At 35.3% G+C, this 17,582-nt stretch overlaps 1 protein-coding gene across 10 annotated transcripts in view; it reads right to left on the bottom strand.

Annotated features, from left to right (window-relative positions):
• NDST3 (N-deacetylase and N-sulfotransferase 3) overlaps positions 1-17,582 on the bottom strand; it is a 225,313-nt gene that overhangs the window by 20,993 nt on the left and 186,738 nt on the right. For 8 of the 10 annotated variants that reach the window (XM_006714416.4, XM_017008840.3, NM_004784.3 and 5 more), the window contains 4 exons: positions 12,969-13,151; positions 10,660-10,756; positions 4,507-4,630; positions 422-596 (listed from right to left, as the gene is read on the bottom strand). In XM_006714416.4, coding sequence (XP_006714479.1) covers positions 422-596; positions 4,507-4,630; positions 10,660-10,756; positions 12,969-13,151 — 579 coding nt within the window. The remainder of the gene's footprint in view (positions 1-421; positions 597-4,506; positions 4,631-10,659; positions 10,757-12,968; positions 13,152-17,582) is intronic. The other 2 variants (NR_146513.2, NR_146514.2) reach the window with 1 other exon arrangement.

Below are 17,582 nucleotides of genomic sequence, written 5' to 3'. Positions count from 1 at the left end.
AGAGTTGCAATGGAGACTGTATAAACCTCAATGTCTGAACTTGTTGCAATCTGACTCTTTATAGAGTACACAAGTATTAGATGAAAAAATAATGATTTTAAATTATTACCTTAAAATGCAGATATATAGAGGCATAGATATAAAAAAGTACATAATATTTTGTTATATTTTAATTTAGTTTCTTTTATTGCATTAATACATTTTATTAAATTAATTGATTAAGTTAATAAAATAAGAACAAAAACTTAGTGGAGGAAATTTCTCAATAGAAATCAAGAAAAACTTGTCCATTTTTCTGTAGATATCAAACAACTAGCAAATCTCTTTTGTGAAAACCTGAGCTAGTGGGTATTGCTAAAAACAATGCTCCATTGTCCATACTCCACTTCTCCCTGTTGGATTTTATTTGCATTTTCCTTACCTGGTACCAGGAGTATGCTCGGTCTGAAGGGTCAATGAGAATGGTGATAATCTTGGCTTTGGGAACCAGAGAAGCAGCTCTTTTAGGGGCTTCCTCTGAGTGGAAGTAATTGGCACTCTTCTCAAACAAAAAGTCGGTAGTGACATTAGATGGGACTGGGAAGAAATCCATATACCTAGAAAAGGAATATTTTTCTCAAAATAAGATTCTGGTTTATACTCATTCTGGTGACCAAAGATGTTAAAAGTGTCCCACAAATTCATGTGTTTCCTAAATAAAAGGCTTTTTCTTTACAGCATTTGTCCTCCATAGTTAGGAAGAGAAAAATATCTAGAACACTAATAATGTGTTTGGAAGATGTTTTTCTAAGTACATTTTCTTTATGTTTTGCTTAATATCAGGAAAAAATATAAGCAATAACAAAAATGTAGACACAGAGTGATCAAACTGCAACAGTGATCGACCTAACTATATCAAATGTGTCTCAATGTAGAAACACTGTACAGAGAAAAATTCAAGTACTCAAAAAGAAAATCGTATTAAAACAGACGATATGTTCAGTTCAGACATTTTAAAAGGATTTAGAGAAAATATTTTTTACTTTATTGCAAGTGAAATAATTTCTTTTCTACAAATGTATTGTGCCGGTGTTACGTTTAATCACATAGTGTGAAAGATGCAGAGTATATCTGGTATAAATATTGCTTATTTGCTTAATTTTTCTCATATAGAGCCACTTATGTTCCTCTTTAGAATAATTGTAAGAGAAGTTTAAAAACTATGTACATTCCAAATATAAAACTCTAACAAATTTCCCAAGGTCATGTTCTATATCCTCATGGGTAGAGAGAATTCAAATTACCAGCAGAATGAACACAGGGATATCTATAGGTTCAAGCACTGAAATGTAGAATTTTATTTAATGTTCCACCTGAATAAAAGTTGTCAAATGTAACTAATTCAGCATATGATAAGAAATATATCTGAAGCACTAAGGAACATCCTTTAGAGGAAAAGGGATTTTTTAGAGTGACTGTAAAAATATAGCTTCTAGGGATTCTCAGCCTCCATTGCCACCCCCTTCAATTCATAAGCCATTATCACACTGGGCTACCAAGACAAGGTAGTTCAATAATTACTGAATAAAAAAGTCATTAATATTCATGCAATGACCTGTTTTTTTTTACAGTGTCTTGTTTTCTTTTGACCAAAAGATCACATGAGATGTTCATAGATTTTTGACTGAGATCATATCCTCAAACATGATAAAGCTTCTGGTAGGATTCCAGTTGTTAACATATTGCAAAGCTTAGCTGGTGCAACACAGTGATATCTTGAGATTCAGAGCAGTAAAGAAATCCTTTTATGTTGTCTGGAATTGGCTTGTTGGTGATATGTAATTCTGGCACCCTTTTAGGGAGAAAGAGATATACAAAAATTTCTGGAAGGTTTGATGTGCTATTTGTTCTGGTGTACATTCTATTTACGGAGAGTGCCAACTTTCAGGATGCTTCTTATGTAGAAGCTCACACTGGTTCCAGGAGTGCTAAGATTATTTCAAGTGTCTAGTGGTATCTTATTTGGTCCAAGCTTGACTCAAACTTGCTTGTTCTGAAAAAGGCTTCAAAAATCACACAAAAGAGCAGAAATTTTAGCTTCTTAAACCTGCCATACCTTCCTAGAAGTCTTTTGTATCTGGAACAGTTTAGGCTTTGAAAACCTCCTCAAGCAAGTCTGGATCTTGGACCTATAATGTGTTGATTTTGCCAGGCCCCAGGGGCTCATGGAGAGGGCAGGGCACAGCTCTTGTTTGCCTATATGTCCGCATTTTTCTAGTGTAGTTGCTGGCACTTACAGGCATTTGAAAGATGTTCGATTAATAGAGAAGTAAATAAAAGGTTCATATTTTTAGTATGAGACCTTGAAGCTCCACAAATAGGCTCACATTTATAGAATGTAAATTCAGGTTATTCAAAGAATTAGTGAACAAACTGGAGTGTTTTAACAATTCAGGGTTAAAAGCAAATGCCTGCCTCCCTTAAGTTTTTCTACTTCTATAAAACATAAAACTTCAGCATTTTCTTTTACCTGAAAAATGGGATTTTTTTTGCAATACTCCACATTTATTTGTTATTTGGGTCAACCCTGAGTCAGTCCTTCCTTCCTTCCTTCCTTTTTTTTTCTTTTTTTTTTGATGGAGTCTCCTTCTGTCACCCAGGCTGGAGTACAATGGCACGATCTTGACTCATTGCAACCTCTGCCTCCCAGGTTCAAGTGATTCTCCTGCTTCATCCTCCTGAGTAGCTCGAATTACAGGCACCTGCCAACAAGCCCAGCTAATTTTTGTATTTTTAGTAGAGACGGGGTTTTGCCATGTTGGCCAGGCTGGTCTGGAACTCCTGAGCTCAGGTGATCTGCCCGCCTCAGCCTCCCAAAGTGCTGGGATTACAGGTGTGAGCCAGTGTGCCCAGCTGGACTTTTTGTTCCTATTAGAGTACCTAGCCACATGATGACCAAAATATATTTTTGTAAAATTTATGGTAAAAAATTAAGAATAACTGTTGCAATAATTTTTTACCATAAATTTTTCAAAAATATGTTCTTTGAAAAAACATCCTAGGGAATCCAATTATTGACAGGAATGTAATACTAATACATTCCTGTCCACCTCCAAAGCAGTTTTTATTCAGTCCTTTTAGTCCTGATGTTAATATCATTTTATTCTATAATTATATACTGGCATGTATATTTGAGTCAGTGATCAAATACAGCTGAAGTAGTCGATGGTTTCTTTCTTTTCTTTTTTTGAGAGAGGGTCTCACTCTGTCACTCAGGCTGGAGTGCAGTGGTGCAATCACAGCTCATTGCAGCCTCAACCTCCATGGGCTCAGGTTATCCTCCCATCTCAGCCTCCCAAATTAGCTGAGACCACAGGTGTACACCACCATGCCTGGCTAATTCTTGTATTTTTGTTAGAGATGGGGTCTTGCTATGTTGCCCAGGCTAGTCTCAAACTCCTGACTTCATGTGATCCACCCACTTTAGCCTCCCAAAATGCTGGGATTACACATGTGAGCCACTGTGCCTGGCCACTGTCGATGGTTTCTTGATTTTCCAGCTGTTATGTAACACCACACAATTAATCAATATCAAACCCTGAACTGAAAAATTGGCAGTGAAATATATAACAATTAGAATATATGTAAATCCTAGTAGGTGCTCAAATTATACTCAATCCATTTCTTTTCCTTTCCATTCGGACTTCTCATAAGCAGCTCCTCAGGGGGCTGATAATTATAAAATTGAGATCATGCAGTTTGACAAGAGATATATATGACTATGCTAAAATACATGCAAAATATATTTATGCTGCAGAATTATTATAATTCACTCCTTTATACCACCCTCTGTTCAGCATTATACCTTCATAGCAAGACCTTCAGAGACATTTTATGGTTAACATGTTAGTTTGTACCATCTATCTCTACTACATTACTGTATTTTGTGTATTCTGACATTTTTAGTTTTTAAGTGTTTGTTCAGATGGTTGATATATTTCTAATTTTGATTCAAAGGCAAGAATTAAATTCTGTGTATTGTTGATAGTTTTTTTTATAGCTTTGATTACTCATGTAATATACAAACATTTCTAGTTTTATTTATTTATTTTTCCTTTTATGTGACAAAGAAAATAGAAAATTACATATGTTGGCTGTAGCATCACTTCATAAAAAGTGCACAAGAAGAAAAATATATGAAAATTTTTTTTCCTTACGAGTAGAAAGGAATTAAATTTCTGAATATTATGCTATTCTTCTGACTTAATATCTATAATTACCATCAAAGAAAATTAATGCCAATTGAAATTACATGTGATCCTCTTGGTATAACAAGTCTCTTTATAAACTGAGAAGAGTTTGTTCTGAAAAATTTCTGAGCCCCTTTATGATATTCAATCAATTTCCAAGGCACAGAGGTTAAATTTTATTTGTGACTACAAACTTAGATGTTTCTAAATATTAGTGCTAAGTTTATACTGTGCACAGTACATATACTTTTAGATTTATACTAATAACCCATCTTACCAATCAATCCCCCTGTGGTAGTTATTTCTATTAAAGAACTGTACCTCCTCAAAGGTTTTTGGGCTGGGGGAGTTACTAAGGATGGAAGGATGCATAACCAGGAACAAATACAAAGCAGTGGTACCTAGAAAGACAATAGAGGTTCAGAAATTAATTAAATGAAAACACAATTTCCTATGATCAACACTTTAAAGTCATGAATAAATATTAGAATGATCCAAACAGATTTATTACAACTACTGCTGGAAATAAATTGAATAGATAATCGGCAGTTTAATAGAAGCAGGTTCTAAAAAATGGAGATAGTGTGGTGTGAAAAGAGGCCTGTTGCAGGGATTGAGAGAACTGGCTTTCAATCTCAGCTCAATGACTGATTTGTCTGTGACTTTGTCTTTTAGCTTCTGTTTGTCTCAGTTTTCTTTTTATCTTTTCTTTCTTTCTTTGTTTCTTTCCTTTTCTTTTCTTTCTTTCCTTCTTTCTCTCTCTTTCTTTCTTTTTTTTTCAGCATCTTACTATATTGCCCAGGCTGGAGTGTGGTGGTGCAATCATGGCTCACTACAACCTTGACACCAGGCTCGTGGGATCCTCCTGTCTGAGCCTCCCAAGTAGCTGTGACTACAGAGATGCACCACTGTGCCGGGCTAATTTTTAATTTTTTTTAAATTTTTAGTAGAAATGAGGTCTCACTGTGTTGCTCAGGCTAGTCTTGAACACTTGAGCTCATGCAATCCTTCCACCTTGGCCCCCTAAAGTGCTGGGATTACAGGAGTGAGTCACCTCTCCTGACCTGTCTCAGCTTTCTTAATGGAAAATCACCTGCCTACTTATTTCATAGATTTTCTCTGAGAATGAAAGAACATGTACTTGAAGACATTTTGACGGTAATAAGGCACTATATAAATGAAATATATTATTATTTAACATATTACATTACCAAAATCAATACTTGGGTTCTCATATTAAGTTCTTCCAGAGGCCTATGAAAGCTAATTAAACTCAAGACAGAATTTAATCTTTCCACAAGTTTGCTTAAGCTTCAATGTACTTAGTAGTGTCAAAAATTGTTTAAATTGCTAAATTGGAAAAAAAAATGGTGCCCTTTCTTAGCGACATAACTTATAGAATTTGCATTTACTAGGGAAGAGAATGGTGTATCACAGGTACGTATATATATTTGTGACTATTGGGGAGCAAGGGTGTGATTTTTCAAAAAGTGAGCAATGTCATAAACTGTACAGTTAGGGTTTTATAAGACTAAATGAGGAGATAAAGGGTGTAGCTTAGTCAGATTGGTACAAGAGAAAGTAAGGCAGTTTGGGTTCAGTTTGTCAAAGATTTAGCCATGTATTTAATACTTGTAACTGTGACTGTGTTTAAAAGATCATAATATAAAAGTATTTCTATATATTGGCTACTCCTAAGAGAGAAATATACTATTATTTACACTGTTATACAATCTGTGGAGCAGGACTTGATAATTATATTCCAAGTCAATAGCTAGCAATAGTAACAAGACATGGCCTTATAATATTTCTCTCACTTGGAGAAATTACTCTAATTATGCTTAGTAATTATGTCATGTTGCCATTTGTACAAAACTTTGAATTTTCTTATTTTTCAGGTAAGCTTTCTTTATTATTTATTTACTTAAATGGTATTAATATGGTATTATTAATAGTACTAATTAAATAATAGTAGTATAAATAGTATTAAGATGATAGTATAGTATTTACTTAAATAGCATTAATATGCTAGTATTTACTTAAATAGTATTATTATTATTATTTATTTATTTTTTTTTAGATGGAGTCTTGCTCTGTTGCCCAGGCTGGAGTGCAGTGGCACGATCTGGGCTCACTGCAACCTCTGCCTCCTGGGCTCAAGCGATTCTCATGCCTCAGCCTCACAAGCAGCTGGGATTACAGGCACCTGCCACCATGCCCAGCTAATTTTTGTATTTTTAGTAGAGACGGGGTTTCACCATGTTGGCCAGGCTGGTCTCGAACTCCTGACCTCAGGTGATCCGCCCACCTCAGCCTCCCAAAGTGCTGGGATCACAGGCATGAGCCACTGTGCCCCGCCCTTAAATAGTATTAATATGGAAGTAAGGTAGTATTTTAGTGTTTATTTACTTAAATGGTACAAATATGGCAATATTTAAGTAAATAAATACTATTTAAGTATTTATAAATTAAGCTTTCTTTAATATTTACTTAAATCTACCATATCTATACAATAGAAAAATTGTTAAAATAACTCTGTCAACAGCAATATTGTCTTAAAAAATGAATTGAAAGAGGTAGTCTTCCTAGATTATATCTGAGCCAAACAATGAACAGTTTGTCTGTAATCATAGATCATTATAGGGAATAAAACAGTAATCTATGATATACAAAGTAAAAATGTGCTTCACAAGCTTGCCTTAAAACAGTGGTCCTCTAACTAGCATGTATCAGATTCATCTGGGGGCTTGTTAAAACATAGCACAGCCCTATCCCAGTATCTCTGATTCGGTAAGTCTTTGTTATAACCCAAGAATTTCACTTCTTTTTTTTTTTTTTGAAACGGAGTCTCGCTCTGTTGCCCAGGCTAGAGTGCAGCGGCGTGATCTCGGCTCACTGCAAGCTCCGCCCGCCGGGTTCACGCCATTCTCCTTCCTCAGCCTCTTGAGTAGCTGGGACTACAGGCGCCCGCCACCGCACCCGGCTAAATTTTTGTATTTTTAGTGGAGACGGGATTTCACCGTGTTAGCCAGGATGGTCTCGATCTCCTGACCTCTCATGATCTGCCCGCCTCGGCCTCCCAAAGTGCTGGGATTACAGGCGTGAGCCACCGTGCCTGGCCTGCACTTCTAATAAATTTTCTGGTGATGCTTATGTTGCTGCTCTGGCAACCACCCTTGAGAATCACTGACTTAGAATAACTATGAAGCAATATCTAAAATTTATTGGAGGAAAAAAGCTCCATTACATGAAATCCACGGTAAAGTAGAAAAAGCATGTTTTTTGAAGTCAGGTAAATTCTAGGACCAAGATTTTTATTCTTGTACTTACCAGCTGTGTGAATTTGAACAAAAATTATTTAACCTCTCTTGAGTCTTAGTTTTTCCATCTGTGTAGTGGGGAAGAAAATACTTAGCTATCAGTGTTTTATGAGGATTAGCGAGGTAACCTAGGTGAAATCACCTAAAGAGTGCCATATCTCAATATTTAAAAGGCATTTTTCCAGATAAAAACTTTATTGAGATATAACTTAGAATTACAATAAATAAATACATTAAATACATTTGAATCTCAATTACATACATGAGATATAATCCAGAAAAATGCATGAGGCATTTTTAAAGTTAAAAATATCTTTTTGGAAATAAGTATTGCCATTATAATGTGAGAAAAAAAGCAGAGAGATTAATTCCTTTCTTAGATCAACTGAAAACATTCTTTTCTGAATCTTATTTTTAAGAATTGTATTAAATACATTTGTTCACTTTTAATAGCCTTTCATGACCAGCATTAGACAAACAGAAAAAATGGATGTAATCTAATTATTTTGCATAGTCAGTAAAAGGCATAATGAATTTATAAGTGTTAAAAAATTGTTAAGTTGTGGTTTCTGAATTCTGTCTTTACCTGTACATATTCTTGGGTCTGAATAAACTGTCCTGCATATATATTTTGTCAGTGGTAACTCAACTACATAATCATAGACACACATTTAAATAACCATCTGTAAATCTTCGGTTTTATATTTTTGTCAGCCTCAACACTGAAAAATACTTGAATATCCAGATAACTAGAAATCTGCAAAATTATCCAGAAAAATACTTTTTATTTTTTGAGATGGAGTCCACTCTGTTGTCCAGGCTGGAGTGCAGTGATGCGATCTTGGCTTACTGCAACATCTGCCTCCCAGGTTCAAGCAATTCTCCTGTCTCAGCCTCCTGAGTACCTGGGACTACAGGTGCACGCCACCACGCCTGGCTAGTTTTTGTATTTTTAGTAGTGACGGGTTTTCACCATATTGTTCAGGGTGGTGTCGAACTCCTGACCTCAGGTGATCCACCCGCCTTGGTCTCCCAAAGTGCTGGGATTACAGGCATGAGCCACCACGCCTGGCCCAGAAAAATACTTTTGACAAAAGTACAGTTAAAAATGAAGCTATTTAATTCTCATGTAACTGATATGAGAAACTACTTTAATTAAAAAATCAATTTCACAAAATATGGATATATACAGCAACATGAATCTCAAAAGTATTATGCTAAATGAAAGATGTCAGTTACAAAAGACTACACGGAATACATGCTTCCATTTATGTGAAGTTCTAGAAAAGGCAAAACTGTAGTGGTACAAAGTAGTTGCTTGTGGCTGGGGATGTGGTGGGGATCGGGGGGGATAGACTGCAAAGGAACAAGGAGAAATTTTTTTAGGCTAACAACTGTTCTGTATTTTGAATGTGGTGGTGGACATAACTGTGTGCAATGTTCAAAATTCAGCTAATTGTACATTTAAAATGGGTGGATTTTATTGCATGTAAATTATATTCAACAAAACTGGGAAAAATCAATTTCTATAAAAAAGAATCAATTTCTATAAAAGGTCTTTTCCAACGACAAATGCCATATCCAAATTGTAACAAACATTTGGAAACCCAATTCAGTTTAAGAGGACAAGTAATAATTCTACCATCTAACCATGATATCAAAATGTCTGCATATCCAGCACAACACGAGAGGAAGCGAATCCTGCAGGACTTTCTAAAGCAAAATGCTACCAAGCCTTCAGGATGTTATCAGTCTTGACAAGGTTATGTGATGACTGGGAGTTCACTGAAGAGAGTTTAGTTTAAATGTTTTCCTAGTTGCCTTTTGACTTTAGATAGATAAGGACAAGTGAAATAAATAAGGACAAGAAAAATGTAAGTATTTGTCATGTTTATTATTGTTTTCAGATTGATATCTGCAAATGACATTAAGGAAAAAAATGAACATGCTGAACTCCCTGTGTACATTGCACAGAATTTTCCTCAGTTATTTCTGGATCAATGAGGAGAGGGAATGTATTCTCCTTAGCAAGCAATATGATTGTAAAGGCTGTTTTCTGTGAAGCCAGTAACCAAGGGCCCCAAATAATTTATCATGCAGGATATAGCATGAATGTCTGGTAGTTTAAAGCTTCCATGATGCTTCATTTTAATACTGATTCTTAGAAACAAGAAGTTTATAGACCGGGTACAGTGGCTCACGCCTGTAATCCCAGCACTTTGGGAGGCCGAGGCGGGCGGATCACGAGGTCAGGAGATCGAGACCATCCTGGCTAACACGGTGAAACCCTGTCTCTACTAAAAATACAAAAAAATTAGCCGGGCATGGTGGCAGGCGCCTGTAGCCCCAGCTACTCGGGAGGCTGAGGCAGGAGAATGGCGTGAACCCGGGAGGCGGAGTTTGCAGTGAGCTGAGATCATGCCACTGCACTCCAGCCTGGGTGACAGAGCGAGACTCCGTCTCAAAAAAAAAAAAAAAAAAAAAAGTTTATGGTGATAAAGAAGTTTATGGTGAAAAAAATTGCACATCAATTTAAGAAAAGGTGCAAAAGATTTCTCCTGGGTATGAATAAACACCTTTCTTAGCACAAAGTTTTGTGTATGTCTAGGAATTCTGCTTGTGAAATATCTTTTAGACTTTTAAAAAATAGTCATCTCTGCAAGAAATAGTTTACAAATAAACAATATTAGGAAAATGGCAGCCTAAGGGACTATTTTTCTAGAAGGGATTTATTATAAAGAGTTATAGGTACTTATCTGTGTCCCTCTTGACTTTTGATACAATCCTGTCAGTGATCAGCTTTGATTTTAGAAGTGTTAATTACAATACTTTTCAATTAAAACATTTGGGGGGGAAAAAAAAAAACATGTGCTACCAAATTGACTGCTGGATATTTGAACAGTGTGACATCTGTTTTATTCCCTTCACTTAAAAAACACTTCGATAAGCATTTAGGTATATTACTGGGCTAAATGAAAATTATGTCAGAGAAAAACATGTTATTCATTCATTAGCAGTTATGGGAAGTTTACGAACTTATTGTGACAAGATCTCATTGTCTAGTCATCAGAAAATTTACACTCGTTAATCATAACATAAAAAGTTCTCACCAGTTTTCTGGGGTCCTATTACCAAGAATTTTGGTAAGCGATCACAAGTTTTTTCTTTAGACCAAATGTCTCTGTGGCGTTTGTCATCGCAAGGATTCTAAATGGGAGAAGAACATAGAGATGTATTTTTTTTCATGAATGTGTCCATTGTGTGCCAGCTTTTCCAACTTGTGTTCTTTAAAAGTATACCAGGAAACGCTGGGATAAAAAATAGACTCTTTTAAAAAAATGAAAGCCCTGAAGTGGCATCATGGAAGTTCTGAATAACTCCCTTCCATGTTGAGGTTGAGAGTCTACAGAGCAGGCTGGAGAGAGGCAGTATTTCCACTTTGGGTAAACAGTCTCATAGCATGAAGAGTTTAATTGGCTACTAGCAGTTCTATTTTTTTTAATAGTTAGCTTACTGGGCAGAGATTATGCTTCCTGCTAACCTAAAAGATGATACACTCAGTATTCAATACATAACTGAAATGTAAGTTGTCAGATCTTTATTCTAAGTAACTTTGAGCTTTCCAGCTGTGCTTCAAAGGGATAGGGATCTGGCCAAAATACTACTATCTAAAGAGACAGCAGATACGTCTCAGCTGCCGTCAAAGGTTGATAAATGTATATCTAAAAATGTAACTTTATAGACTATGATGCTAGAAAGTCCTAAGTTTTAGCAAAAGGGAATAATGAGGGTGAATTACTACCTTAGGGATTCTGCTTTTGGTCTATAATATTTAACACCAACATCCACTGCACAAGTCCTATTTAGAACACCCTTCATTTTAAGAACAAAGTATATATTATGTAGAAAAGGAGGAAGAATTACAGTACCCTTTAATATTATTTCAGGAATGGGCAAACAGTACCACTTTTTTATTTCTAGTCAATTAATACCATAGGTATGTGAAGTTAAATAAGACTTCTGCTTATTTTTAATAAGCAACAGATGTTAAGACTAAAGTGAGAGTATTCTTTTTGGCTGTTCTTCTGAAAAAAAAAACAAAAAAACAGTTTAAAACTTGTCACCTGAAATAATGATTTCAGTTTAAAAGTAAGGTTGAATTAGCAGGAAAATTGCATGTCTTTCCATTGGCTAACATTTGGTGATGTTTCGTGGTGGTTAAAATGAAAAGATGCTTGTTAAAACAACGGAAAAGTAATATGCAGTCATAAGTCCACAACCACCAACTTTAACCTGCTAAATATGCAGTTATGTCTCTTGGAGTCATCTGTGTGTGCTCAGGAGGTAATTAACTTACGGTTGAAAGCTGAATGCATTGAGTATAAAGTTCAGAGTTAACAACTTCAATCTGTGGTAAAAAGTTACTGAGTTCTACTTCTGATGATTGTTATTGTTTTACCATCAGCTCTGTCTGTAACTCTAGTAGCGTTTAGAACAGTGATTAAGAAGTACAGCTTTTGGAACCAGATGGCCTACAACTGATTCCTGCTCTGCAACACACTAGCTGTGTGACCTTGCTTAATTGACTTAGCCTTTCTGTGCTTCAGTTTCTTCATCTGTAAAATGCAAATCATAACTGTACCTACCACTTAAGGTAGTTGTGAGGATTAAATGAGTTAACACATGTCAAGTGCCCCGTCTGACATATAATAAGCAATATGTAATTATTTGCCAAGATTATTATTTTTCACAGATCATGGAGTGGACAATTTAAATTCAAAGTTGTTCCTGCAATTCTATGATACATAAGAGTCTATGCTTTGAAATCTAGGTTACCCCCAGAGTCATCTGAATATGCTGTATTCATGTGGTATTTATCTTAAGAAGCTCAGTGATTTTCCCATGAAATGCTTTCCCCCATATTAATCCCCAATTAATACTTTTGAAAGCTGTCCACATTCAGTGGCTGTTGGCTGTTGGTGTACCTCGTGGTTCAGAAGGCAGATGTCAGTTCTGAACTCTTCTCAGAGATCCTTTAATATGGTTTAGTCATTAGAGATATGGGGATGTGTTCAAAGGCTACCTGTCTAACAAACGACCTGTTTACCATCTTCTACTCTTCCAGCCTATTGCAACCTGTAGATTTATCTCTCACTCCTGATTGAAGACGTTATATTCATTGAATCTGTCACTGAACTTTCCGAATCCCATAATTTCCAATGTGCAAGGGAACAGGGAATTGGGTGCAATATGTAGCAATGATATACAACTACAGTTTAGGAAGGAGTAGTTTCTCAAATTTACTAACATTTCCAAAATGCAGGTTTTTTCAGGTGCCTTCACTTTTCAAATTTGGGATATCTCACAGAATTATGTTCCTGGAATTAACTGGTTATATCAATTATTTAATTAATTTTACCTGCCAGAGAGGGTCTTTCTGATCAGGAAACAGCTCAAAATACTTGTGGGCCAGTTGTACTGGAGGCAGAGTCTGAAGTCGCAGGTTGGTCCAGCTCTTCACAAAGTTGGCCAGATTAACAAATGTATATAATCCCAGTCGGTCATTCCCATAGTTGGACAAATGGGTCATGAAAATGCTGATCTGAAAAAAGCAAATGAACTTCAGTGTAAATAACATTTATTTTGACACTAGAGGGCAGTATAATCACAGCCATGCTAGTTTTTTTCCTTAAGTAGTCTGCACAGGGTTTCAGTTGATGGCGTGTTTTTGGATTTGGGACATGTCCCTCAAACCCTCATTATATTAATACATACTGGAGGATGTGTTATCAGCAAGACTTGAGCATTTTTTCCCTGAAATTTTCTTATATTTCATAACAAAAAAATACATTCAACATCAATAGCTGCTGTATACCCATGTTGGTGCAATAAGACTGATGCTGAATAACAACCTGTATATTTCTCAAGCCCTTTTTCACATTCCTTAGTTCCATTATTCCCAATATAAAACATCTCCTTTAAGAAAAATCTTTAATGCTTGGCTAGATAAAATTGACTCTTCCTATGGAAGCACCTGACCTAGATTGAATCCATGCATTGAAAGACAATCACAGAAAGTGCAGGAAACTTTTTATAATAAAATAAATTTGAACTCTGCAGGTTAGACTGCATTGGTCTGGGATGTAGACGTAGAATGGGTATTTGTAGCTTTAAGTGAATGCAGATAATTTTTGCTGGTTAGTGTTGACAAATGAATTCTTCTGCATGAGATTTTTAATGGCAAAGAAAGCCATTGTGACGTTTATGCTGCTATAAAAAAGATCATAAAATAATTCATGTGATAATAGTACTTTCCTAAAATATATAATGTCATGTGAATGAATAGTAACAATGGTTTACTATAATCATAATAATGAATTTAATAGGTCATTCATTAAGAGGCTGAAAGAAATATTCAAGAAAATTCATTGAGGTAATGTGACAGAGATGAGAGAAAAAGTTATGTTAATATTTAACACAATAAATAAGAAAAATGTAATTACTTAACAACTATGAATAAGAGGAAGTAGTAATATCCTATGGAACAAATCCTGCAGGCTTTTACATAAAAAGCTTCATTGTGATCAAGAATATTTGCATTTCTATTCACTCTGCCTGAACATATATTAAATCTTTGAACTTTTACAAATAAATTATTTTGTGAGTGATTTAAAATAGCTGTCTGTACCAGCAGACCAATGCAGTCATGGAATTGGGAACTAAGCCTTTTACCATTTTGGGTCTTTCTTAAAAAATGAGACTTTAAAACTTAAATCTTCTGGTTATTTTTTAATAGCAACTTCAATTCTGTGACTTAAATTTCCTCTTTTTCTCCTGTAAAATTTATCAGAACATTAGGTGATTGAGAAACTTATGAAAATCATTCTTAAATTTGGAAGTTTTTTTCTAATGTCGTTGGAGGTGGTCTTTACTCATTTGTTTTACATGCCACATTTTTCAGTGTAGCTTAATAAGGTAGAAAAATGATACTTCTGGTCACCTTTCTCCTAAAAATTTTTTTAAATACAATTTTAAAAATGTGTATTTTTAACCTGGTTAGTAAGTTCAAATTTCTTGCTTTATTTTTATGAAAGATTTGTCAGTAAGTCTATATGTGTCATATTTCACTTGAATAATATCTGCATGGGACAGAAAATGGGAAATAGAGATACTATATAACCTCATGATACTAATACATTCGAAATCCCTTTGAATTCACTTTTTAACCTCAGAAAACATTTTATTCTGACAATTAAAGCAGAGAGCTACTCTCTACCTGCATGACTATGGAAAGTAAAAAAATGCTACTCTTTCTGATAAAGACAGATGGAACCCAAAATGAGTTATGAGCTAGTAAAGAACATTGCTTTTCATGAAACTGAACCTGATTTGGAAGAATTAAGGTGATACTTATAAGGTGTTGAACTTAGTCCTGTAAAAGAAAACCTACTTAGCCTCCAAGCGTGGAACTTTTCCCAAATGTTCAATTCTATTTTTATATTCCCACTTTAATATAATGCAAGGTGCACCATAAGCTAAAGGACGGTTTAATGTTTTTGTAACGCATGTCACCTTATGACCCTTTTAGACTCTGTACTCAAGCCTGAGATTTGTTTTGTGCCCCTGAAGGCCATAAGGGAGTATAATTTGTCAGGCATAATACATTTCAATTTCTTTTTGAACTTTTTTTTTTCATGAATCACAATATTTTCTATAGACATGGAATATTGCATATCTTTTGCTGAACATGTAACCTCTCTTTCTTTGTTACTTTTTTCTTAGGAAGGTATGCACATTAAGGAACATAATTGACAAAAACAGATATATAACAAGAATGTTTTGGTTAAAAAGTTAGCTTGCTTTCTAGACAGTCTTTCTTCCTTACCTGTGTACTGACCTATGACATTTATAATGTCATTTCACTTCTTGGCAATTCCTCACCTGACAACAATTTCTGTACAGCATAGAAAGAAACAAAGAAAAGGCTTGAAAAGGCTGCTAGTTCAGGAGAAGCAGATATTAGTCTTTTCCTAAAGATGATACTTTTACAATTTTAAGAGTGCTTCAGGACTGAGGTTTTATTTTTGTTTTTTTTTTTTTAGATGGAAAATTGATCAAAATAAATTATTTTTATTATACTTGTAGATTCCAATGAGATGGAAAGTGTCAATAGAAGTGACAATTGCATTTATAAAACAATTTTTGCTATAAACACACTATGAGTAATTAGTTGTCACCAAAAGGACTGTTTAGCTGCTTAAAACTCACATCATTTGAAACTGCCAAAGGCATAATGTTTATATGATTAACAACTGAAACAATTCTTTCTAGTCTGTGAGATATAGATGTGTATAGCCAGATGGTTATCTGTGAATTTTTTTCTGTAAAAAGGGAAAAGGTAAATGTCAAATACCACATACATTAGTCTTTATGAGAGAGGAAACAGATACTGTTTGTCAAAGTGTAACTAAGAGAAAAGTGTGGGAAGCTTTATCTATACTTTCTAGCATCAACCCTGTGAATCCACTAAGCTCTAGGTATGGGGGATGCATGGCTCATTACCAAGAATAAAAAGCAAAATACAGGTCCTGGTGCAAACGCTGTTGACAATGCAGTAAGTATTCTCTTTCTTTAGAGAAGGCTGGGAAGAGGAGAGGAAATGTGGATGTGAAAAAAAGTATGTTATTTATTATAAACTATGCCTTTCATGACCACGCTGCTCAGTTTAAATCCACAAATATTTTTCTGATTATTCTGCTATTTGCCAGATGCTCTGCTTCATTCTCAGGGTGCAAATATAAATATGCTGCTCATTCTTTTAAGTTTTGTTCATGAAAAGAGTCAGAATTCAGAAGGTAGAAGAGAGGTTACAGCAAACTCTTTCTCTCAGCCAACCAGTTTTGTTTTGCTTTAGTATGCTTCTGGGTGACCATAGGTTCAAAAGGTTTATGATATATACAAATCAACTGGGAAGTTTTAAAACATTCTGATCACCAGTCTTTATACTCAGAGATTCTGATTTTTAGGTCTGGAGGAGGCCCTGGTACCTGCATTTTAATAATCCCTAGTGGTCTTGATGCAGGGATCATTGGAATACAGTTTGAGAAAGCCTGGCTAGACCCAGTTCTCCCAGAGGAACTTTTATTTTCCATAGAAATATATATTTTATTCATATAGGAAAGATCTAACTCAGGTTATCAAACCCATTGGTTGCTTTGTAGTAGTCCTTTTTAAACACATTTTAAAAGCAAGCATGTTTTATTAAGTTCATAAATATATTTCAATGTCCTACACTTAGAGTTGTCCTTAGTACAAAAAACAGCTTGGTAAGTGCCCTTGGCCATGACTTTTGAGGGCTTCTGTACTGCTGACAGATGTGTGGTGATGTTCAGAAGATTGCTAAAAAGAGAACTGGTTCATACAGACATGTGAATTTGGCTCCTAATTCCCTTCAATCCTGTTTATTTTATTTTTTTAATTTTACTTTAAGTTCCGGGATACAAGTGCAGAACGTGTAGGTTTGTTACCTAGGTATACGTTTGCCATGGTGGTTTGCTGCCTATCAACCCATCATCTAGGTTTTAAGCCCCATATACATTAGCTATTTGCCCTAATGCTTTCCCTCCCCTAGCCCCCCATCCCCTAACTGGCCTCAGTGTGTTGTTCCCCTCCCTGTGTCCATGTGTTCTCATTGTTCAACTACCTCTTATGAGTGAGAACATGCGGTGTTTGGTTTTCTCTTCCTGTGTTAGTTTGCTGAAGATGATGGCTTCCAGCTTCATGTCCTTGCCAAGGACATGATCTCATTCCTTTTTATGGCTGTATAGTATCCCATGGTTTATATGTACCACATTTTCTTTATCTAGTCTATCATTGTTGGGCATTTGGGTTGGTTCCACGTGTCTGCTATTTTAAATAGTGCTGCAGTAAACATACGTGTTCATTTGTCTTTATAGTAGAATGATTTATACTCCTGTGGGTATATACCCAGCAATCCCATTGGTATTTCTGGTTCTAGATCTTTGAGGAATTG

This window comes from Homo sapiens, chromosome 4 (assembly GCF_000001405.40).
Source record: "Homo sapiens chromosome 4, GRCh38.p14 Primary Assembly".
NCBI classification, from domain to species: Eukaryota; Metazoa; Chordata; class Mammalia; order Primates; family Hominidae; genus Homo; species Homo sapiens.
The sequence above is the reverse complement of the archived record's forward strand: the minus strand, read 5'-3'. Positions and strand labels throughout refer to the sequence as shown.